Source organism: Homo sapiens, chromosome 11, assembly GCF_000001405.40.
Source record: "Homo sapiens chromosome 11, GRCh38.p14 Primary Assembly".
In the NCBI taxonomy this organism is placed as follows: Eukaryota; Metazoa; Chordata; class Mammalia; order Primates; family Hominidae; genus Homo; species Homo sapiens.
The window spans coordinates 17,150,026-17,175,356 of record NC_000011.10 but is presented as its reverse complement, the minus strand read 5'-3'; the positions used below and the strand labels follow the sequence as shown (position 1 = coordinate 17,175,356).

The window sequence follows — 25,331 nt, the reverse complement described above, 5'->3', positions numbered from 1 at the left end:
CTCTTGGAAAACTTAAATATGGTAACTTAGCTGGTAGCAATCAGCTCACTTTTACTACTTAGAGTTGAATTTACTTTAGCATATACTACTTTGGGTGTTGGTACTAGAAATAGAGCAAGCAAATACATTGGTGATGTGAGAAAAACCCATACTCACTATTAAAATATATTTCAGATGATTAATTTTATATCTTTATCAGTAAATGAGAGTTAACATTCATTTGAAATACTTAGAACAAGTGTATTCTCCTGTGAATAAATTATTGTAAACTAATTTTAAAAAATCTAGATCCTTCTTTCAGAATAGTGTTACATTGTTCATTACCAGATGTGGCAACAAGGAGAATACTTAAATAACAAATTGGCATTATGCTTGTGGAAGATGAATTATATCTACGTAGCCTTTCTCTTTGTAAAATGCTATTTTTTTATTTTTTATTTTATTTTATTTTTTTTTGAGACAGAGTTTCACTCTTGTTGCCAAGGCTGGAGTGCAATGGTGACCTTGGCTCACTGCCATCTCTGCCTCCAGGGTTCAAGGGATTCTTCTGCCTCAGCCTTCTGAGTAGCTGGGATTACAGGCCTGGCGTGCCACCACACCCAGCTAAATTCTGTATTTTTAGTAGAGATGGGGTTTCACCATGTTGGCCAGGCTGGTCTTGAACTCCTGACCTCAGGTGATCCACTTGCCTCAGCCTCCCAAAGTGCTGGGATTACAGGTGTGAGCCACTGCGTGGCTGCTGTTTTGTTTTTTTTTTTTTTTTGAGACGGAGTCTCGCTCTGTCGCCCAGGCTGGAGTGCAGTGGCGGGATCTCGGCTCACTGCAAGCTCCGCCTCCCGGGTTCACGCCATTCTCCTGCCTCAGCCTCCCAAGTAGCTGGGACTACAGGCGCCCGCCACTACGCCCGGCTAATTTTTTTGTATTTTTTTTTTTAGTAGAGACGGGGTTTCACCGTTTTAGCCAGGATGGTCTCGATCTCCTGACCTCGTGATCCGCCCGCCTCGGCCTCCCAAAGTGCTGGGATTACAGGCGTGAGCCACCGCGCCCGGCCGCTGTTTTGTTTTAATACATCTAATTTTGTGAAAAATAGGCAGTATACTTTGGTGTTCCACAATAGGTGATTACACTTGATTTATTTTTCCTACCATATATCCATACTCTTGTGCCATTAGAAATGCCTTCTTTAAGACTGTCCAATAGCCCTCACTCCCTCTTGTTAAAACACATGTTCAGCCAGGTGAGGTGGTTCACGCCTGTAATCCCAGCACTTTGGGAGGCCGAGGCAGGTGGATCACTTGAGGTCAGGAGTTCAAGACCAGCCTGGCCAACATGGCAAAACGCTATTAGTCTCTACTAAACTTTTTGGTCTCTACTAAAAATACAAAAATTAGCCGGGTGTGGTGGCGAGCGCCTGTAATCCCAGCTACTCGGGAGGCTGAGGCAGGAGAATCGCTTGAACCCAGGAGGCAGAGGTTGCAGTGAGCCGAGACTGTGCCACTGCACTCCAGTCTGAGCAACAGAATGAGACTCTGTCTAAACAAACAAACAAACAAACAAACCCCACGTGTTCAGTAAATTAAGTTTCTTATTCATTAAGCAAGGTACTTTTAAATGTTGTGGGGAACTCCAAAAATAAACAAGTAGGCCTTTGCACTTAAGCTTATTTTAGTCTGTTGGGTAGACACATAGGTTCACAGATTCTGTGTTAATCAGGACATTTTTTGTTATGGCAGAAACTCATTTTAAACTGGCTTAAGCAAAAAGGGAGACTTACTGGCCTGCATAAATGAAAGGTTGGCTTTGGGCTTAGTTGGATCCAGATGCCAGTGTAATATTAGCCAGAATCTGTCTTTCTTCGTTTTATCTTAGCTCTGCTTTCTTCTGGATTGGATTCATTTTTAGGCATTATCTCCTCAAGTGGTGACAAAGACGGCCACAGCAGGGCCAGGCTTATATCTGAGTTTAGTAAGCTCAAAGAAAAGCTTTCTTTCCAAATAGTTTCAGCAGAAGTCCAGGAGTTAACTCTGATGGGCCATATTTGGATCCTCTGGAGTGGATGGGAATGGGGGACAAGGGTAGAAATGGCCAGTTCTATTTTAATTAACTATGTGGGATAAAGGGAGATCAGTCTCCAAAATGGAAGCCGTAGGTTCTGCAACCAGAAGCAAAGATGTTGATAGGCAAAAACAGCAAAAGGTCTACAGAAGTGAAGAAGAGAAAGCTGTGATAAAAATGTTTTGGTTGATCTAAAAAGATGAATTCTGATAAGAGCTGCTTAGGGAAGGCTAAAGAGAGGAGACAGTATTTGAATTGGGCCCTGAAGGACAAGTAGAGTTTTTCCAAGGCAGAATGTGTAAAGAAAAGATTCTGTAGGTCCCTCATTGGAGAAGTTTGACAGTGAAAAAAGAAAATTAAAATGGAAGCTACTGGAATCTAAACGGGAATGTTAAGATTTCCCCCCCTTCAATATGGAGAAGACTTAAGCTTTTTTGTGGCACAGGACCCTAAGCAAGTAAATAAGTTAACAATGCAAAGGAGGTAATCACCGATGATGAAGTGGAGGGTAATCATTGATGATGAAGTGGAGGGGAAAATACATTTATGTTTAGAAATCTAAGGTTAAGGATACACATGGAGGAAGTCGCCTTAGAAAGGAAAAGAAAACCGTTTGTTCCCTGAGGATAAGTGAAGGAAGGTGGTGGTGGAAGTTAAAACAGAAGTTTGTTGCTAAATAGTAAAAATGGCTTGCGCTTTGTTTTCTAAAACTAATAAGAAAAAGTTTATCAGTTATCTATTGCTATGTAACAGAATCATTCCAAAATGATTCTGTGGGTTATCAATTTGGCTTTAGCTCAGCTTGGTGATTTCTTCTGCTGGTCTCACCTTCAGTCACTCATGGAGTTGTGGTCATCTGGAGTGTGGATGGATGGTCTAAGATGGTGGCTTCACTCACATGTTTGGTGGTTGGTGCTGGCTGTTAGCTGGCCCCTCTCATCCTCAGTGAGCATTCACATAGCAGTGGCTGCATTTCAAGAGACAAAGAACTGAGGTAGTAAAGCCTCTTAGGACCTAGATTTGGAACTCCTATTCCCACAGTGTCACTTCCATTTCATTGGTAAAAGCCAAGTCATAAGGCCCGCTTAGCTCAAGAGAGTAAAGAAATAGATCCCTCCTCTTTATGAGAGGAACAAGAAAATCACATCCCAAGTAGTGGGAGTATGTGTTGAAATGGGAGGAATTTGTGCTCCTCCTATTCCCTACTATCCAGCCTTTTATTTTGAAAATTTTCAGTCTTGGCAACCAAGTTAAAAGAATTTCAAAGTGAATACTCATATTTGTATCACCTAGATTCTACTATTAACATTTTTCTATACCTGTCTAATCACATATTTATCCATCTATCCTGCTATCCATTAGTTTACCTTTTAAAAAAAATGCATTTCAAAGTAAATTGTAAGAGCCAGGCACAGTGGATCATGCCTGTAATCCCAGCTGAGGCAGGAGGCTTGCTTGAGGCCAGGAGTTCAAGACCAGCCTGGGTAACATAATGAGACCTCCCCCATCTCTAAACGACAAGAACAACAAAGTAAATTGTAGACATTAGTACTTTCCTCTAAGTGCTTTGTGCATATGTAGCAAGAGTTCCATATTTACAGCTTTTTCTTTTGATATAAAGTTTACATACAGTAAAGTGTGTATATTTTAAATATACATTGTGCCCATGCTTTGTAGTCTACCACAGAAGGGAAAATAGTTGTATGAAGGAATTGCAAAATAATACACTAAGAACATTCCAAGGACATTCTTTGAATTCCTCTTTCTTCATGACCTCCTTAGTAAAAATTTTTTTTTTTGTTTAGTATTACCTCAACACTTAGGATTTTCATTTGTATTATACTAATTTGAATTTATTTTGGGTTTTTCCCTACCTCCTTGTCTCACGTATATATTGAGCATATACGGTAGACAAGCATTGTGTTTGCTAGAAAGAAAGACCATAGAATGTAAACAGGAGCTCTCTTGCTTTCTAGGTATTTAAACTGGATGTATCACAAACCAGATTAGATTAATAATACGTACCATTTATTTAATGCTTATGCCCAAGGCCAATGAGAGGCACTTTTATGTGTATTATTTCATTTAGTTTGTGTACTAATTTAGATTGATACTTTTTTATTTTAAAAATTAGGAAACTAAGACATACAGAAAAGTTTTCATTTGCCCAAGGTCATATACCTTCTTTTTATTTTTTTTGAGACGGAGTCTCTCTCTGTCGCCCAGGCTGGAATGCAGTGACGTGATCTCGGCTCACTGCAAGCTCCGCCTCCCGGGTTCATGCCATTCTCCTGCCTCAGCCTCCTGAGTAGCTGGGACTACAGGTGCCCGCCACCATGCCCGGCTAATTTTTTGTATATTTAGTAGAGACGGGGTTTCACTGTGTTAGCCAGGATGGTCTCGATCTCCTGACCTTGTGATCTGCCCACCTCGGCCTCCCAAAGTGCTGAGATTACAGGTGTGAGCCACCGAGCCCGGCCAGTCATATACCTTCTTAAACTAAGGTGATGTGACTCCAGAATCCATATTTAACCCTTTTATCATATTGATTAGAAGCAGGAAATGTGCTCGGTGTTACAGAGTAGCTAAGCAACCTTTCAGTTGGTCGTATTGCTTCACAGGGTAATCTTGGTCTGAATTAAGTGTTTGTCTTAAATAGAGGAGTATAAATTTTTATAAGCTAAACTATGACAAAGTTTAAAAATTATCTTCTCATCTTTTCGTGAAGAATAAAAATATTTAAGGATTTTGAAAAGGAGAAATTTTGGTATTATAACTATTGATTTAACTGCAGAGAATCAGAATAGAAATGTAATTAAAACTATATGGCCAATTCAGCTATAATTTAATCTTTGAGTGAAATATTGCCTCAGAACTTCTAATAAGCCTTAACACTTTGTCTTATTATTCAAATCCATGTTACATTATACATTTTTAATATTTCTGGAAGATTATTAAACCTTTATCAGTTTTGCACATAGTATTTTGATAAAATAATAGTTTCCTGTTTTATTGACTAGGTATTGGATGTTTTTATTGCTAATTGGCTTTTGAGCAATTTAACAAATAGCAAAAGATCAAAAACCATTTTGACTTGCTATTTCTGCATATTGGTAAACCCTGTCTGAACTGTTGAAAATATGTGACTAGCACTTAAGTCATTTCATGCTAAGAATTCTGCCAGAAGTACCACTGGTTAATGGCAGCCATTTTGACTGCTAAAATGAAAGCGTCTAAAGTTCATTTACTGTGCCAGCTTTCCAGTTGTGTCAGGAAATGGGGTTAAAGTAATGTGTATCTGAACATCTTCTGTAACCCAACAGTGTATAAGGTGTTAAGTGTTCCTTCACCCAGATTTTATCTGTTTTATTTTGTTTATTTTGTAGTATATTTTTCTAAGTGGCTTAAAGTCCAAAGTCATATGGGGTAGGTTGCAAACAAAATATATTTATGTTTAGAAATCTAATTGAGTGTTATGTTTATTTTTATGTATAGGCCTTGCTATTTTGGAAGCTACAAGAAAAAAATAGAGGAAGGAAGGTTTGGTCTTTTTAGTGGACATGGCTCAGATATCTAGCAACAGCGGATTTAAAGAATGTCCATCTTCACATCCGGAACCAACAAGAGCAAAAGATGTGGACAAAGAAGAAGCATTACAGATGGAAGCAGAGGCTTTAGCAAAACTGCAAAAGGATAGACAAGTGACTGACAATCAGAGAGGCTTTGAGTTGTCAAGCAGCACCAGAAAAAAAGCACAGGTTTATAACAAGCAGGATTATGATCTCATGGTGTTTCCTGAATCAGATTCCCAAAAAAGAGCATTAGATATTGATGTAGAAAAGCTCACCCAAGCTGAACTTGAGAAACTATTGCTGGATGACAGTTTCGAGACTAAAAAAACACCTGTATTACCAGTTACTCCTATTCTGAGCCCTTCCTTTTCAGCACAGCTCTATTTTAGACCTACTATTCAGAGAGGACAGTGGCCACCTGGATTACCTGGGCCTTCCACTTATGCTTTACCTTCTATTTATCCTTCTACTTACAGTAAACAGGCTGCATTCCAAAATGGCTTCAATCCAAGAATGCCCACTTTTCCATCTACAGAACCTATATATTTAAGTCTTCCGGGACAATCTCCATATTTCTCATATCCTTTGACACCTGCCACACCCTTTCATCCACAAGGAAGCTTACCTATCTATCGTCCAGTAGTCAGTACTGACATGGCAAAACTATTTGACAAAATAGCTAGTACATCAGAATTTTTAAAAAATGGGAAAGCAAGGACTGATTTGGAGATAACAGATTCAAAAGTCAGCAATCTACAGGTATCTCCAAAGTCTGAGGATATCAGTAAATTTGACTGGTTAGACTTGGATCCTCTAAGTAAGCCTAAGGTGGATAATGTGGAGGTATTAGACCATGAGGAAGAGAAAAATGTTTCAAGTTTGCTAGCAAAGGATCCTTGGGATGCTGTTCTTCTTGAAGAGAGATCGACAGCAAATTGTCATCTTGAAAGAAAGGTGAATGGAAAATCCCTTTCTGTGGCAACTGTTACAAGAAGCCAGTCTTTAAATATTCGAACAACTCAGCTTGCAAAAGCCCAGGGCCATATATCTCAGGTATAGTCTTTTCTTACTAACTTCTCAAACTTAGTATAACACAGAGTTCATATTTGTGTACATAATTTGTGTTTTTTTGTTTTTGTTTTTGTTTTTAAGAAGGAGTCTCGCTCTGTCGCCCAGGCTGGAGTGCAGTGGCGTGATTTCGGCTCACTGCAAGCTCCGCCTCCCAGGTTCACACCCTTCTCCTGCCTCAGCCTCCCGAGTGGCTGGGACTACAGGCACCCGCCACCACACCCGGCTAATTTTGTGTATTTTTAATAGAGACGGGGTTTCACTGTGTTAGCAAGAATGGTCTCGATCTCCTGACCTCGTGATCCACCCGTCTCAGCCTCCCAAAGTGCTGAGATTACAGGCGTGAGCCACTGCGCCCAGCCCATAATTTGTTAAGAAAAAAAAATATTTTTCACTTTGAATTTTGTTTTTCTTTGCTCTCAAGTGTGCTTTGATTCTTTGCTTGTGTGGCAAAGGATGAAATGTGATTAGGCCAATTGAAAAATTGCTTGCTATTAATATTTTTCTAGGATTGTAAATAAAAAGCCTCTAATGAAGGAACTGGCTGTCACTGAGAGGCATTTAAGATATTTTAAATTTGTCTGTCCATGTCTCCTCATTACATATGCTCCCTTCTTTCTCTTCCTTATTCCTGTTTTTTTTTAAATGCAAATAAGAAATTTTGGTTTTTAGCCCCATTATAGAAATTCTCACGCATTTTGTTTTGTTGTTTTTAACCATGAATCAATGAATAAATAACCCCAGAGAGAAGAGCAATTTAAAGGACTCTCCCTTTAAACACTTTTGTCGATAAAAGTGAAGAATGAAATATTACCATTGCAGATTTGTGTTTTGCTTTTATATCTGTGTATCCTGGGAATGTTTAAGCCTCATTCTCACTTTAACGTGAATTAATATTCAGCTAATTAGATCAGCACTTACCTACTATTTTATCATTGGGAGTTAACTAGCATTTAGATGGGGAAGGGAGGGATGGATTTTGCATGATTTGGATCGGTTTATGTTGAATTGTTGACTTTATTTATTACTATTATTATTTTGAGATGAAGTTTTGCTCTTGTTGCCCAGGGTGGAGTGCAGTGGTGCAGTCTTGGCTCACTGCAACCTCCACCTCCCAGGTTCAAGCGATTCTCCTGCCTCAGCTTCCTAAGTAGCTGGGATTACAGGCATGTGCCACTACACTGGCTGGTTTTGTATTTTTAGTAGAAACCGGGTTTCTCCATGTTAGTCAGGCTGGTCTCGAACTCCCGACCTCAGGTGATCAGCCCACCTTGGCCTCCCAGTATGCTGGGATTACAGGCGTGAGCCACCATGCCCGGCCAAATTGTTGACTTAAAAAAAAAACATTTTGGATGTCTGGAAGGAAGAGAAATCGGTGTTAAGAAGGTTTAGACAGCATGATGGCTCATGTTTATAATCCCAGCACTTTGGAAGACTACGGTGGGAGAATCACTTGAGCCCAGGAGTTTGAGACCAGCCTGGGCAACATAATGAGAACCTGTCTCTAACACAATTACAAAAAAATTAGCTGGGCGTGATGGCATACTCCTGTGGTCCCAGCTACTTGGGAGGCTGAGGTGGGAGGATCGTGTGAGACCAGGAGGTTGAGACTGCTGTGACCCATGATTGTACCACTGTACTCCAGCCTGGGCGACAGAGCAAGACTCTATCTCAAAAAAAAAGGGGCAGTTGGGGGGAAGGCACTGGTCCCCCTAATTTTCCCATCCTGCAGGGCCCAGGTCACTGCTGGATTCATATTCGGGTCAATTTCTAATAGGCAGATGACTCCCCAGCTGTGGGTCTCTATTTTATAGGTTTCTCATGAGAGAAATGAATTCTGTGTTTAGTGCCTGGAGTCAGGATTTGAGATGTAGTCTGGATTTAAGATGTCAGCTGTTTATAGTTGTTTGGGAAGGGCAACTGCCTTGAACCTGGAGACAGACATTGGGGCTCTGATAAGTTAGTCTTGCTATCAAAGAAAAGGAAGCCCCTTGTCTTGTAGGGAGCTGCGCTTAGGCTCAAGCCTTGCACTGGTAGAAGGCAGAGCCCCACAATGAATGCATTGTAGCTACAATAGATTGTCTTGAAGTTAATACAGATGTTTATAAATTACCTTGATTAATTTAATTATATCTTAAATTCTGAACTTCCCATTATTGAAAAGTCATTTACCTACTGAGAGAAATAGATTATCCCAGCTAAGCTGATATTACCATTCCAGATGCAATGTAGTCATCATCTTAAGCAAGTTGAGGTTTCTGGGTAGGTGGGTTATTTACTGTCCAAAGCTCCAAGACTGGGATTCGGAACCCAAGAACTTACATGCTTTTTATCTATGTTGTACATACTCAAACCGAACTCTTTATTTATTATTATTTTTACCAATATGTTGCCAAAGCCAAAGGACTCTTCTGCATTTTTTTTTTAATCACTGAGACAGAAAGCTCACAAGAATCCTATGAGGCCAGAGTATGACCCATCCCTATTTTACAGTTGAGGAAACTGAGATGTAAAGAAGTTAAAAGGAATTACTGTTAATATTTTGGTGTAATAATGGTATTGCAATTAATTAAATGAATCTTATATTTAGAGATGTATACTGTAGAATTTAAAATGTAGTAAAATCAAGTGAGGTATTGGGGTTTGGAGGGCTTATAGATGAAACAAGATTGGCTATATGTTGATAATTGTTGAAGCCGATGATGGATACCTGGGTGTTTATTCTATTATTTACTTTGTGTATATTTGAAAATTTTCATGATAACAAGTTGGAGGTCAAGGAGAGGGCTGCAGAACTCTTTGCAAGCAGCAAAGTTCTGACATTCAAACCCATCTGACTCTAAAAGCCCTCCCTTTTTTTTTTTTTTTTTTTTTTTTTTCACTTTTTTGAGACAGTTTCTCTCTTGTTGCCCAGGCTGGAGTGCAATTGCGTGATCTCAGCTCACCGCAACCTCTGCCTGCTGGGTTCAAGCGATTCTATTGCCTCAGCCTCCCGAGTAGCTGGGATTACAGTCATGCACCACCACGACCGGCTAATTTTGTATTTTTAGTAGAGACGCGGTTTCTCCATGTTGGTCAGATTGGTCTCAAACTCCCGACCTCAGGTGATCTGCCTGCCTCAGCCTTCCAACGTGCTGGGATTACAGGCGTGAGCCACCAAGGTCTGCCAGCCCTCCCTTTTTCAAACTCCAGTGATACAACATGCTATTTTGGAAGGAGTAAGTTCCCTGTCATAGGAGATATTCAAATATGGTTCAAATGGCTTCCCAAATTTAGTTATATGTCACAGTATCCTAGAGAGTTTAGGCCTACTCAGTCCTGATTTGGAGGAAGGGGTGTCAAAGGACAGTATGGAATTTCAGGGGGAAGATAACCAGTTTTTTCAAAACTTTCCCCCTTGGACCTCCATTTGGGACCTCTTGACTAGGTTATTTTAAAGTTTATTCATACTCAGGAGCCTATAAAGTTGGGAAAATGACAAGACAAATAGCAAATGTGAAAATAGAGTACCCTGGGAACAGTTTCTTTTCAGCTCAAAACCCAAAGCACAGGTTGTTAATGCTTTCATTGCGAAACTCAACTTCCTGCCCCTGCTTGACCTTTTTAGTTTAGATTGGTCACTCCTAGTTCAACACATGTGTTCTCCACCCTTTCCTTTGGTGGGGCAGGGGTGTGACACCCATGTAAGTCTCCCTACATTTATTTTTTCTTATGTATTTAAAATATTTGTCACAGTACCATCTTGATATTTTCCTTATTTGGGGTGCTTTCAGAAAGTATCTTGGAGGAATAATGAGGATGGGTGGTTTCCTAAAGATAGGAAGAAGTTTGCCTAGCAAGATCTGGGTAATCAAGTCACATAGGTGTTACAGAGAGCTGCTAGTTGCTCAAACTCTAGGAATTAATTAACTAGGCTGCCAAACAGGATTAGTTTTAGCAGAAACAAGTTCCTAGATCTTAGTTAAAAAATATAGGGGAAGGATTAAAGTAGTAAGCAAATGGATTATGAGAGATATGAGTCAGAAACTGGGTAAGCAATAATATGACTTGATCAGGGGATCAATCAGAGAGTGGAGCTAGATTACTACAGTGTAGCATATCAACAGCTTTACTGATAGCATGCTATCTGAACTGACATGGCTTAGGCTACTTGCCAGTCTTAAGGCAGTCTAACTGCAGCATGGCTGAGGAAGTGTTCATCATTCCATTATACTCTAATCAAACCCCATCTAATAATTTTGTTTGAGTATATCCTAAGAGGGGCCACCAGTAAGGAAACTGAAGTTTGTCTTTTTTTTTTTTTTTTTTAAGACAGGGTCTCACACTGTTTTACCTAGGGTGGAGTGCAGCAGTGCGATCACGGCTCACTGTAGCCTCTACCTCCCATACTCAAGTGATTCTTCTAATGCAGCCTCCTGAGTGGCTGGGACTATAGGTACACGCCACCACACCCAGCTAATTTTTTTGGGTTTTGTGAAGATGAGGTCTCCCTGTGGTGTAAGCCATTGTGCCCAGCCTAGAGTATGTCTTGAAAAGAGAAGACTGTAGTTTTCAGGATCTAGAACGTATGCCATTTGAGGAACTGTTGGAGGCATTTTGTCTGAAGAAGAGAATATTAATTGGAGTTAAATCACTGAATCTGAGTTTCTTTATCTATGAAATAAAGTTGGCTAGACTAGATCCTTTCATAAATAATAGTTAAAATTTGGGAAGTTGCCATGTGGAAGAGGAAGTGGACTTTTTTTTTTTTTTTAAGGTTTTGTATTTTGGACATACATTTTCAAACCAATTCAGGAAGTAGAATACCTGAAAGTCATGGTGCTCTTATAAAACAGGATGAAATGTTGATATACTAATTTTTTCAGTACGTTAAATATATTAAGTATACTACTTTGTGTTACATTAGATGACAATCTGTGCTAGATTATAATAGAAACAACTGGTAGAATGGTGGGTTTGGTGGCTCATGCCTGTAAACCCAGTGCTTTGGGAGGCCGAGGTGGGAGGATTGCTTGAGGCCAAGAATTCGAGACCAATCTGGGGAATGTAGGGAGACCCGTGTCTATAGAAAAAAAAAATAGCTGTGTGTGGTGATGCACGCTGGGACTACAGCTATTCTGTAGTCCCAGCTACTCAAGAAGCTGCAGTAGGAGGATCTCAAGCCCAGGAGTTTGAGGCTGCAATGAGCTATGATGATAAGGCCCTTGTACTCCAGCCAAGGCTACAGAATGAGACCCTGTGTCTAAAAAACAAAGGAATAACTGATAGTAAGGGCTGAAAGTTAAAATACATTGCATAGAAAAACTTAAAATTAAACAAGTCCTATTTGTTTGTTTGTTTTTGTTTGTTTTTTTGAAACAGGGTCTCGCTCTGTCACCCAGGCTCTGGAGTGCAGTGGCGTGATCTCGGCACACTGCAACCTCCACCTCCCAGGTTCAAGTGATTCTCCTGGCTCAGCTTCCCGAGTAGCTGGGACTACAGGTGCATGCCACCATGCCCTGCTAATTTTTGTATTTTTAGTAGAGTTGGGGTTACACCATGTTGACTAGGCTGGTCTCGAGCTCCTGACCTCAAGTGATCCACCCGCCTCAGTCCCCCCAAGTGCTGGGATTATAGGCGTGGCCACCGTGCCTGGCCAAACAAGTCCTATTTGTTTATATATTTTTTTCTGTGAATTGAGAATTCAGTTTAGTAGCTTAATTTTAAAATCTGTTGTCCTAAAAAGTAGAACAAGAACCAATGGGGAAGAAAGTCAGGGAGACAGGTTTCATGGTTAAATATCTATAAAGGAACTTAGAAAGAGACATTTCATGATGGTTGCTCTCAGGTTGTGTTAAGAGAAAAACTTTAGACATATTTAACATAGTTTAATTCAGCAAAGAAGAGATCACAAATCAGGCAGCCCCTGAAGCAGAATGGGTTCAGGGAGACTCCAGTGCAGCCATGTGGTGGAAGATTTATGGTCAGAAAAGGAAAGTGATGTACAGAAAATGGAAACGAGGTACAGAAGCAGCTGAATTGGTTATGGCTTGATGTTTGCCTTATTTGAACAGGTTTTGAACAGTTGGCCACCCTTGATTGGCCGAAACTTGGTGATTGGCACAAGAGTAGGTTACAGTTTGTTGTACACATCCAGTTAGGTTACAGTTCACTATGCATGGAGAAATTGTTAGGCTGAACTTAAAATGTGTTAGGAGGCAGGTTTAGGCTAAATTTAACAGTTGTAAACACAATTATTTGAGACATTGACTTAGAGGCTTGGCATGCACCTGTTATAAATGCTATAGATAGGATTTTGTTTTTGTTTTTGTTTTTTTTTTTTAGATGGAGTCTCACTCTGTCGCCCAGGCTGGAGTGCAGTGATGCAATCTTGGCTCACTGCAACCTCCACGTCTCGGGTTCAAGCAATTCTCCTCTCTCAGCCTCCCTCCTGAGTAGCTGGGATTACAGGCACCTGCCACCACACCCGGCAAATTTTTCTATTTTTAGTAGAGATGGGGTTTCACCATTATTGGTCAGGCTGGTCTTGAACTCGTGACCTCAGGTGATCCACCCACCTCAGCCTCCCAAAGTGCTGGGATGACAGATGTGAGCCACTGCGCCCGGCCCAGAATGGATTTTTGTATGAAAAAGTTCTAAGCCTTCTTGTTAGTGCTAAGATTTCATTTTGTTTGTGTACAGGAAGATAAAGTTTGGTTTTATGTAGACCAAAATAGGGAGATAAACTGAACACTGGTAATAGGCTGACTTTGGAAATCCATGGCACAATTCATTGGCACGGAGCTTTTAATTTTTCACACACCATTCATCTCTACTTACAAACTTTTCCCTGATATTTTTTATTGGAAAATAATATTGCAATGCCTATTCTTTATAATTACTTCACATGCTTAAGTGTTCATTTCCTGTAAGAATTTTGTGCTTTGTGGTAAAAACTCAACACAGAGGGTATTTTTCTTCTCACTCAGCAAGCTTACTTCCTGTTTCCATCTAGTGTCCTTTGTTTTATTAATAATAACCTAAATACATTAGTTCCAATTTTTTGTGACCAAAACCAGTAAAAGACATAATACTTAAAACTGTCTTCTGGAAATTTAAGTTTAAATCAGGCTTTTAGTTAATAGCTGTGAATTTAACTACTTTGAGCAGATTTCAAAGAATTTTATAATAGATCAAATTATTGTCATAGAGGTGGCTTTGCAAAGTTCTTTGGTTGTAAACTCTTTCTAAAAGTTAATTGTATTAACATTTTAAACATATCCCCATTGGCAAAATGTCTATTATTAATTTTAAAGAAGAGCAAAAGTTAAACAAAATGTGATTTTCATAGTCTGACTGAGTATATTTGAACAGTAAATATAAGTTTCTTTGGGAAAAAGTCCAATTAAGGATGTAACCAACTTTCTTCTGAAAAGTAATATGTATTTAATGTTTAAAGTGCATTTATTGAAAACTTGGTGTTGTGTTCCATATAATTTCTGGGTAATGTGGCATGAACCTTGAACTTGTATAGGTATAAATCTTCCCCATATTCTTGTAACTACTTTACAGAGTATTAATGATAAATTTTTGTGAATTATTTTAAACCTTCACCACTTTCCTTAAACCTCCAAACTCACCTCTGCCAACTCTCTACCATTTTTTTTCTTTTAAATTGAGGTCAAGGCCATCCATGTGTGAACTGCTCACCTCACATTTCCCTCATCTTTCTGGTTTGAAAGGAAGAGATGTTCCTTCCCTTTTCCAAAACTTAACTGTTTTTTTTGTTCCTGTTTGTTCCTGTCTTCCCCAAAGTTATTACTGTTTGTTTGTTTGTTTTGTTTTGGTTTGGTTTTGTTAAGGCAGGGTCTTGCTCTGTCATCCAGGCTAGAGTGTAATGGTGCAACCTCGGCTAACTGCAACCTCTGTCTCCTGGGTTCGAGCCATCCTCCTGCCTCAACCTCCTGAGTAGCTGGGACTACAGGGGCATGCCATCATACCTAGCTAAGTTTTGTATATTGTGTAGAGATGGGGTTTCACTATGTTGCCTAGGCTGGTCTCCATCTCCTGGACTAGAGCTATCCACCTGCCTCCCAAAGTGCTAGGATTACAGATATGAGCTACCACACCTGTCCTTAAAGTTATTACTCTTTAAAAAGGAATTTGTACTCACTGCCTTTCCAGTCTCTTGCTCTCCTTCTGTTATTCCCATTATGTTATAGAATTGCCAATCCCTCGACCATATTCACCATTTAGCCCTTTTGCTTATTTTTTAAAAATTGACTACATCCTTTTCTTGAAACTTCTGTTGCCCTGGGTAAATCTACTTCCTATTTTTCTTCCTGTGATTTTTGACTCCTTTTTCTTTGTCTAGCCTTTAAACATAGGCATTCCTCCAAAGGTTTTGTTCTTGGTTGTTTTTAATAATGCTTTACTTGTTTTCCCTTGGCCAGTGCTTTATTCTTGAGGCTCCAATTTACTTAAATTGAAAGCTACTGATCTAGACCCTTGTAGTAATGTGACTCCTTGGCTGTCTATGCTCGAGATGCTGTGATGGTTAATTTTATGTTTCAGCTTGACTAGGCCATGAGGTGTCCAGATATCTGATCAGACATTATTCTGGGTATTTCTATGAGCGTGTTTTTGGGTCAGATTAATGTTTGAATTGGTCAGCTGGATAAAGCAAATTCCCTGCTTAATGTGAGTGAGCCTCATCCAATTAGTTGAAGGCCTGCAGAATGACCCTCCCAAAAGTAAGGGGGAAACTCCTCCTGCTTGACTGCTTTGAAGCTGGAACATCAATTTTTTTCCTACCTTTGGACTAAAACAGAAGCATTGGCCCTTCCTGCGTTCTGCAACTGCACCATTGCTCTCCTTTGTCTCCAGCTTGCCAGCTGCAGATCTGGAGACTTGTCAGCTCATAATTGCATAAGCCATTCCATATATACGAAAATAAAGAGATGTCCCAGTTCTGTGCCTCACAGATACAGGCCCTTATGTCTCCTTTAGCTTCCCAAAGAGACTGTTTCCTCTTAATGGAGCTTGACCCAAAGACTACTGACTGAGAATTTGCTGTCTCAGTGATCCTGATGGATGCTGACAGCAGTTAACAGAGAGAGTGAGTTCCCTGTAAAAAATTACAGAAATTGGATGATCACTAAATCTTTGTTTCTAGCTCTGGAATAGAATATTTCTGGAGTAGAACATTTCTAGACGATGACCTAAACATCTACATGGATTTTCAAACACAACATATTTACTAGAGAACTTTGTATCTTCCCCTGCAAACTTCTTTCTTTGTTCCAGGTATTGGCTAATGCATTGGCAGTGTTTTCTTATTGATTATCATATATCTCTTTCATTTGTTAAAAAATGTGTGTGGTTATACAGTGTGAGGATTGCACATACTAATCATTTGTGGACTTCACCATTAAAGAACTTGGGCTAGAAAGGGGAGACAAGATGTGAATGTGTATAAATGCAGTACAAAATAGAAAGTCTTGAGTGCCACAGAAGAAAAGTCTGTGCAAGATCCATGGAGAAAAGAGATGATTTGATGCTTTGGTTTGTTTGTGTGGAGTTTGGAAGTGGGGTGGGAGTATGGGTGAAGGGAATAGGTGTAAAATATATGTATTTTTTATTCCAGAAAGAGCAGAGGGAAAAACCCAAAACTGTTAATGTTTGAGGTGAAATATTGGCAGCCTAGCTATTTTTTACCCTTTACAGACTTTAACATTTGAGTTAACTTTCCAGATTCTATTATTACCTTGATGTGTGACTAGATAATTATTATATTCAGTTTTTGTTAATTCAAACTCGTAACTTGAATAAAAGGAAAGACCTAATTCACGAGAGACACAGCAAAAAATACAACTATTATTATTTTTTTTAAATCCTAAAATGCCACCTAAGGAGATTCAGAATCTGTTTTTAAAATAAGTAAAACATGAAGAACAGTTCTTCAGGGAAAGATGATTCTTGGGTCAAGCAAAGCTTTAGGTTTTCCCAGCACTGCTCCCACAAAGGTCACAACGTTGTTTTTCACATTGTGTTTTTAAGGATTTTTAAGGATATTCTTTTGAGAGACAGATTAGCATGGTGATTAAGCATGTGACATTGAAGCCAGACTGCCTGGGTTGAAATTCACACTCTGCCTATATTAGCTGTATGACCTTGTGAGTTAATTAACTCATCTGTGCCTCATTTTTTCCATAAAATGGGAGTAATAATAGTTCCCACCTATTAGAGCTTTTTTGATAAATAAGTATATAAATGAATGCCTGTAGATATATAATTATATATATATATATTTATTATTATTATTATTTTTTTTTGAGACGGAGTTTTGCTCTTATTGCCCAGGCTGGAGTACAATGGCACGATCTCGGCTCACTGCAACCTCCGCCTCCCGGGTTCAAGTGATTCTCCTGCCTCAGCCTCCCGAGTAGCTGGGATTACAGGCATGCACCACCACGCCCGGCTAATTTTGTATTTTTAGTAGAGATGGGGTTTCTCCAGTTGGTCAGGCTGGTCTTGAACTCCCGACCTCAGGTGATTTGCCTGCCTCGGCGTCCCAAAGTGCTGGGATTACAGGCATGAGCCACCGTGCCCAGCCAAAAATTAATAGATTTTTGACACATGTGGTGAAGGAAGTTTAAGAGGAAGGTGAAGGGAAAAGTCCAGAGGCAGGATAGCTTGATTTGTGTTTTATAGGAACAGGATATGATTCAAGCTAACTGGAACATAGAAATCTTTAGGGAGATTCTGGGAAATAAGATTGGATTAGATTGTGGCAGATTTGGAGTGTGAAACCAGAGGATTTGCTAGGAAATATAAAATCCCATTCTTTAGAGTAATATAGTCTATTTGTCATAGTGGTTGCTTCTGTAATACAAATTGATTGATATGTGATTGGTAACTATGAGACTGAGGTCAATACAATGGGGAAGTAGCATTAGTTCAGACGTAATCTTTCCCGGCATATTAACTTTTTGAAATAATCAGAAACAAACTTCTCACAACCTAAGGGAAAGCTTTAGCACTATATGAAGATATTAGGAAAACACTGAGAATCCTGCAGAAGTGTCCTCTTATTAATGAAAATGAGTGGCTTCAAGAACAGTTTCACATTCCACAGTATTAATCTGTCAGCTATAACGATGTTTGCAGACCAAGAGGCTGCAAAAACATTTCTCTTTGAATTTTTTTTTTTTTTTTTTTTTTGAGACAGAGTCTCACTTTGTTGCCCAGGCTGGAGTGCAGTGGCACGATCTCAGCTCACTGCAACCTCTGCCTCCCAGGTTCAAGCAATTTTCCCGCCTCAGCCTCCTGAGTAGCTTGAATTACAAGCACTTGCCACCACGCCTGGCTAATTTTTGTATTTTTAGTAGAGACAAGGTTTCACCATGTTGGCCAGGCTGGTCTTGAACTCCTGACCTCAGGTGATCCGCCTGCCTTGGCCTCCCACAGTGGTACTGTACTTTTAACTTCATTGCAATTGGTGTTGACTAGAAGCATATGTCCTGAAGAATTCATATCTCAAATGAGGAAACAAGAGCCCCAGGGTTTTAGGCTTCAAAGGATGAAATGCTAGGTGCAAATGGGAGCAGACATTTAACTGTGCTAGTATTTTTATAAGGTCCTATTATCGTTTTAGTTAGGGCTTTGATTACAGAGTTATATTGATATAAAAAATTATTTTTATTTTTAGAGATGGGGCTTCACTGTGTTGCTTGGGCTGGCCTCGAACTTCTGGGCTCAAGTGACCCTCTTAATTTAGCCTCCTGGGTACCTGGGACTACAAGTGTGCAATGCCACACCTGGCTACATTGATATTCAGTAGTCTACCTTAACTCTCTTTTCCCCAGGAGACTTGTTACTTTTAATTGTGGTTTTGTAGCACTCGAAGTATTTATTTTTTTCTCCAAATGTGTATATCACATTCTAGCAGAAAGGGCTCTGACATGTTTTAAAGGAAGGAAACTCATAAAGGAATTGTTGACCTAAATTTTCAGTTTAATTTTCTCACACAGAATCATCTTGTGTGCTGAGGCAGGCAGATTGCTTGAGCCCAGGAGATTGAGATCATCCTGGGCAACATGGTAAAACCCCGACTCTACAAAAAATACAAAAATTAGCCAGGTGGGGTGGCCCATGCCTGTAGTCCCAGCTACTTGGGAGGCTGAGGTGGATCACCTGACCTCAGGAGGTCAAAGCTGCAGTGAGCCATTGTTGAGTGACTGTGCTCTAACCTAGGTGACAGAATGAGTCCTTGTCTCAAAAAACAAAGAAAAAAAAGTCTTTTTGTGTGCCATAGTCATTGAAATCTGTTATAGCTCTTGAAATATACGCACTTTGTTCTCACTGAATTTTGAATTGAGAATGTTCCAATTCTAATTTTAAAGGGAATTTATATTTGAAATTTGCACCAAATCAAGTTATTTTTATGTAGTGTCAAAACACTCTCAATGGACTCTGCTGTTTGGCTATGCTTGGGTGGTGAATTGATCTCCCTGAAAGCTGTAAACAGTTTTTGACCAGACGTAAACTTAGCTTTTTAGGGATTGTGAGGATGTTAGTATAAGTTTATTAACCTAGAAAATGCCCATTCTCTTACATAAAAAACCATCTTTCTTGGGATTTGGGTCCTAGTTGAATATATAGAATTTCTGGCTGATTAGAAGAGTCCCAAATGGGCTTGATCTCTTCATATTCTTAAAACAGAGAGTCCTTTAATTTCATTTAGTTGTAAAATTTCTAAAGTGTCTATTTTAGGAATATTTTGAATGGAAAGGTCTTTAGCATTCCATTCTTACTGACCGGTATAGCCTGTTTCTACTATTGAGCAAGTAAAACCAAGGAACGAAAATAAGGCTTAGTTGACATTACTTTTACAAAGATAGAAATATATAATTTAAAAATTTGTTATTGATATGATTTATTTTACCTCCATTGCTTTGTACATATTTTCATAAAAATGTGTTTGTGCTGTGCTGCTATGTAGCATTTTGTGGATCTTCCACTTTTAAAATAAAAACACTTTTTTAATTACAGAAAGACCCAAATGGGACCAGTAGTTTGCCAACTGGAAGTTCTCTTCTTCAAGAAGTTGAAGTACAGAATGAGGAGATGGCAGCTTTTTGTCGATCCATTACAAAGTAAGGAATTTTTCTTTATAAATGTTCATTTGAAAAATTCACTTGAAAACCAGTTTAGTGCTAATAATTCTAAAATTTTAAAAATTTTAATTATTTTCTTCTTGTGGCTAACATTTCAAGTCAAAGAGTTAATTGGCACGTTATCACAAACCACAGTTGAACTTGTATCTTCACCTGTTAGATTTCTTAATATTTGGAAGAAAAAATTGAGGTCAGACAGTAGACTTCTGATACTGTAATAACCAGTGAAAAATATGACTTACCTGTAAGCTTCAGTACACTTAAAAAATACCTACTTTTGTTTTAGAGAGACTTAATTTTGCTGTAAACTTTCTAGCATTCAAAATACTGTTCAACATATTTAAGAGATGATATTATAATAGGCAAGTTTAGAAGAGCAAATATATTTTCTGAAGTTTAGAAAAACACATTTATAGAATGTTCTCTCAATCTTAAATGTGTCTAACATTCATTATAGGTGAGGAAACTGAGACTCAGAGAAGTAACCTAACAAACTTTACTTGGCTAGTCAGTAATATCAGTAGTAGAACCAACTCTCTTTTGCTTCTGGTTAAGCATGTTTTCTTCCCATTATATCACTATATTAGTTGTGACTTCTGTTACGAGTGCTAGAAACCCATCTTGAACTTAAAAAGGGTCATGTATTGGTTCACAACCCAAATAGCAGATAGAGGAAGGATGGGATAGAGTTCATTAACAGCAAGATTCAGGAATTCATTACTATAAATCATCCCCCCTTCCTTCAATTCTCCTTGTCCACTCCATTTCCTTTCCTTCACCTTCCTCACTTTTCTTCCTCTGCCTTTCCTCCATGCAATTTAATGGTCTCAGTAGCAGAGAAGAAAAAGGAGTCCCCTTAGCTAGCCAGATAGGAAACACCCATAGGAGGAAAGAGTGGAACAACAGTCCTTGTGGCCAAGAGGATGAGAGATCTGTTATCTAAAAAAGGGAAGTAGATCACCACTGGGAGATTTTTTTCTGAATCCAGCATTGTCTTCAGTGTGGTCTGCTTTAAGCATAGCAGGATTTGGGGTTCCCAGAACATTTTTGAGTATGTACATTATTTTAATGTTAAAGAACTTAATATTTAATGAGATTTTCTGGACCATTGGTGATATTTTATTAAAACTCTGTCTTCCTTTATGTTACCTTTTAACCAGCATTTCTTTTCTTCAGAATACCTTAGGAAAAAAATATTATCAGTAGAGTCACTTTTTCTTGGCAAAGGTTACTCTCCCCAGACAGGCCTTGTATTTTCCTGTTAGGCCATGTTAAGTAACTACTACATTTAAGCTTTGCAAGTTGAGAAGTTAGGCTCTCTGAGACCTACCTTTTTTCTCCCATTTGAATCTTAGAGCTATTTATACAAACTCTGCCACTAATTGAAAATGATTGTTTTTGTTTACACACACACACACACGCACACACTTAAATGTGATACGAAACTGCAAATGGACTAAAGAGAGAATGAGTTCTCTTTGTAATTTTATTTTCATTAGTAGACTATGACTGCAACAAATACTAGAGCAGTAAGAAGTACTGGTGTTTTTGAAGGCATGTTCTAGGAACTTCCCCTGTGGTGACCATGGAGATTGAGATGAGGAGATGTACTTTGAAATTAGTGGCTCTGTTTTTTCCATTGTGCTCATTTTGCAGTGGATTTTTAAAACAAGTATGTAGGCTTTTAATTAGAGAGCCAGTTCTTTGCTTTTTGAGATCTCCTAAAATTATTCATTTATTCATTTAAATTCAGCTGTGAAATTAGTGTCAGGCTGTCAGAATGATATTTGTTTATAGTTAAGATAAAATACAAAACAGACTTGGAATTTATTACCAGTTCTAGGTATTGGTTTTTGTTGTTGTTTCTCATCTGTGAAATTAAAGAGTTGGACTAGTGATTTCAAAGATCTCTTTCAGTTTAAGATTCTGTAATACATTGATTCAGGACTACTTTTCATTATTACTGAGTTTTTTGTCCTATTTCTTTCCTTTTACACCTATCATAATTGACAAAGCTTGCTATATCTACTAGTTACAGGTGCTGAAAAGGTTCTTTTTTTTTTTTTTTGAAATGGAGTTTTCACTCTTGTTGCCCAGGGTGGAATGCAGTGGTGCGATCTCAGTTCACTGCAACCTTTGCCTTCCAGGTTCAAGCGATTCTCCTGCCTCAGCCTCCTTAGTAGCTAGGACTGTAGGCATGTGCCACCATGCTCAGCTAATTTTTTTTGTATTTTTAGTAGAAACGAGGTTTCACTACATTGGCCAAGCTGGTCTTGAACTCCTGACCTCAGGTGATCTGCCCACCTCGGCCTCCCAAAGTGCTGGCATTACAGGTGTGAGCCACCACACCCGGTCGAGAAAGTTCATCTAATAGTGTTAAATACCAGTAGAAGTTATTGCCACTTTATTTGTGGTCCTTTAGGATAAGATGAGAAACCACATTCTACACCTGTCTTTCTGAATAGCTTTATGGTCATATAGTATTCATATATTCATATATATACTATTTATATCCTATACTAGTATCTTGACCCCAAAAACTTCCTGTATGTTTTCAAGGACTTCAACTCTGCATTTGGTTAATTTTATTCTAAACAGTGCTGACTGTACTTTCCTATAGAATAATATTAATTTATTTGAAATTTTTCAAAACCCTCATTTTTATCTCTTTTCTTCTTTTTATGTTCTGATTTTGCATGATTTGGTTATCTGTGCAGAATTTTAGTCTGATTGAGCACACAAAAGTAGAAAAATAAACCATAAAGGATTTTCATTTCTGCATAGAGATACTGAATTTCCTGAACTGTAGAGCCACACTAAATAGACAAAGCCTTTTATTTGGGTGATAGGGAAGTAGAAATTTTAGAGAAAATAAAAAATTAGAGTTAAATACTCTTTATAGATAGTTACTTAAGAACATCAAACTGTAATGTGTGGCTTAGAGTATCCATAAAAATACCTTATCTGGTCTATATTGAAAGTGAATAATTTACTCAGTCAGCAGTTATTCATTTAATAATTTAATTTGATTTTGTATGTTTAAATGCTTAAAGATTTCGCTACAAAAAAACCCCACAAAAAAACCTCAATTGTAAGGAATCTTAAATCTTAGGTGTTTTATGGTTTTTGGCAATTTTTATAAAGCAAACAAACCATGGATTAGAAGAAATCAATTTTACAGAAAAAGGTAATTAGTGTATTTTCTGGATCTGGTATCTTCCATGGTACCAAGTAAATACAAAAAAGACTCATTATAAAAACATTTCTTAAATTGTGATAAAATATACGTAACAAAAATTACCATTTTAACTGTTTATAAGTGTACGGTTCAGTGACATAATTACATTCACATTGTTGTGTAAAAGAAAGGACTTATTTTAAGAAAGGGAAATGCAGGTTTCCTCCTCTCAAACCAAGCTAAGTTTTATCACTGGAATTTTTGTCTAATAAATTCTTGTCTTAGCTATCAAGAATTTCTGCTTTTACTTTTGTCATCCTTAACGGTTTCTGAAAATTGAAAGCTTGCTTAGATGTAGAAAAAATTCTCTAACATTTTATACATTAATTTCGTGATTTGATGTGAGCCTCTGTCTTAGTGTTTGTATTACTATAAAGGAATGCTTGAGACTGAGTAATTTATAAAGAAAAGGTGTATTATATTTTTAATATTGTTGCTTAGGATTTCAGTGCAAAAACCAGATTTATTCCTTCACTAACTCAGTTATTTGACAAGAAGGTTAAAGCACTTACTGTGTACTAGGCACTGTTCTAAACGCTTTATAAACTAAATTCACATAATTCTCACAACAACCCTATCAGGTAAGTAGTAGTATTACCCCCAGTTTATAGAAGAAAAAACAGAAGCAACAAGGAAATTTAATAACTTGAATAAGTTCACACAGCTAATAAGTAGTATAATCAGGATTCAATCTAAGGTAACCTGGCTCTAGAGGCTATGCACTAATGGTTACATGTGCTACCTCTCCAGAACCTTTTTCTGTCATCTCAAGCTGTTTTATTCTACTTATGTGACCTGATTATTTTAATCTCTACAGAAGCAAGTATACAATACTTCTAGCATTCATTCCATTCATAGCCCTATGAAAAGCAGGAAGGAGGACTGGTACCTGTCTTCTAAAAAGTCAGTTTAAAAGAGCTCACAAGTGTAAAGAAGTTATCAAATCTTTGTCTTACGATAACAGCAGTGCTGGCTGGAGATGAGCCATACACCACATTCATGTATTTAATTTTGAACTGTGTTGCTCCTATGAATACCTTCACAGGCAGTTCTTTCAATTCCCTAAGTTTTAGAAATCACTTTGAGGGAAGAAAGGCCTTGTAGCACTGTAAAAAACCATTGTCTATATTTTGTTCATTATCTAGCAGCCAAAAACAATGTTTGTACGAAAAAGGTCCTTAGAAGAAAAATATTTTTTAAGACAACCAACTTGTTATCCTTTTGGCCATTATAGTTTTAGGACTACATTGCCTATAGAATAATTTAAAAGGTACCATTTTGTGTAATTGTACTGTGTGGCAAAAGATTTTTAAGCAGAGGACCTCATTTAAAATGCCATTTATCCAAGCATGTGCTTGGGTAGTGTTGATAATGTTACCAAAGATATCCTGGCAGTAGTTCATCTCTTCCTTTTCCTTGGGTTTCTTTTATTTAAAAGGAAAATGCTGGTATTTGGAGTTTCAACAGGAGCTCATTCATTGCAGTTTCATGAGCTGCTTGAGTTGGACAAAGACACAGAACTGAGTGGCTGTAAACATGTAAAGCCTTGTTCAGAGCCCTCAAATGAAGTTTTTTTAAAAAAGAATTTAATTTCTTCTTTCTTGTGAACAGATTGAAGACCAAATTTCCATATACCAATCACCGCACAAACCCAGGCTATTTGTTAAGTCCAGTCACAGCACAAAGAAACATATGCGGAGAAAATGCTAGTGTGAAGGTCTCCATTGACATTGAAGGATTTCAGCTACCAGTTACTTTTACGTGTGATGGTAGGTTTATGGTTCCTCAAGCCTCTCGTTTTGCTCTGTTAGGGGGAAATGTTTAAAATATCAATATTATCATTCTTTTAATAAACCAATTTTGTTATGTGTCTTTTTGGCATTCATATGGATAGTTTTCTCGTTAGAACTAGTGGGGAATCAGGTTACCTTTATAAATAGATAATTATCTGAAAAGTGCTAAGTAACTTTTGTTAATCAGTGGCTCTTGGCCAAGGCTGAAAAGCATTAGATAGAAAAGCTAATTATAATTTAATTCTTTATTTTTCTCCTTCATTTTATGACAGGAAGCATGCTTGCTTATAAAGAGCTGTCAGTGAAATTGAAATTCCAGATATCTTGCTAAGTTCTTCTGTGGAGAAGATAATTCTCTTTTATTTTAATCCTTTCTTCCAAACTTGGTATGGGTGTCCTCTCTAGAGATGTATTCCCAAAGTCTGTAGGAAATTTTTTTTATAGTTTT

General features: G+C 38.2%; 1 protein-coding gene across 6 annotated transcripts in view; it reads left to right on the top strand.

Annotated features, from left to right (window-relative positions):
- Positions 1–25,331, top strand: part of PIK3C2A (phosphatidylinositol-4-phosphate 3-kinase catalytic subunit type 2 alpha) — a 121,412-nt gene that overhangs the window by 32,630 nt on the left and 63,451 nt on the right. For 5 of the 6 annotated variants that reach the window (NM_001386870.1, NM_002645.4, XM_047427128.1 and 2 more), the window contains 3 exons: positions 5,551–6,680; positions 19,728–19,831; positions 24,702–24,859. In NM_001386870.1, the coding sequence (NP_001373799.1) occupies positions 5,616–6,680; positions 19,728–19,831; positions 24,702–24,859 (1,327 nt within the window). In that variant the 5' untranslated portion in view covers positions 5,551–5,615. The remainder of the gene's footprint in view (positions 1–5,550; positions 6,681–19,727; positions 19,832–24,701; positions 24,860–25,331) is intronic. The other variant, NM_001321380.2, reaches the window with a different exon arrangement.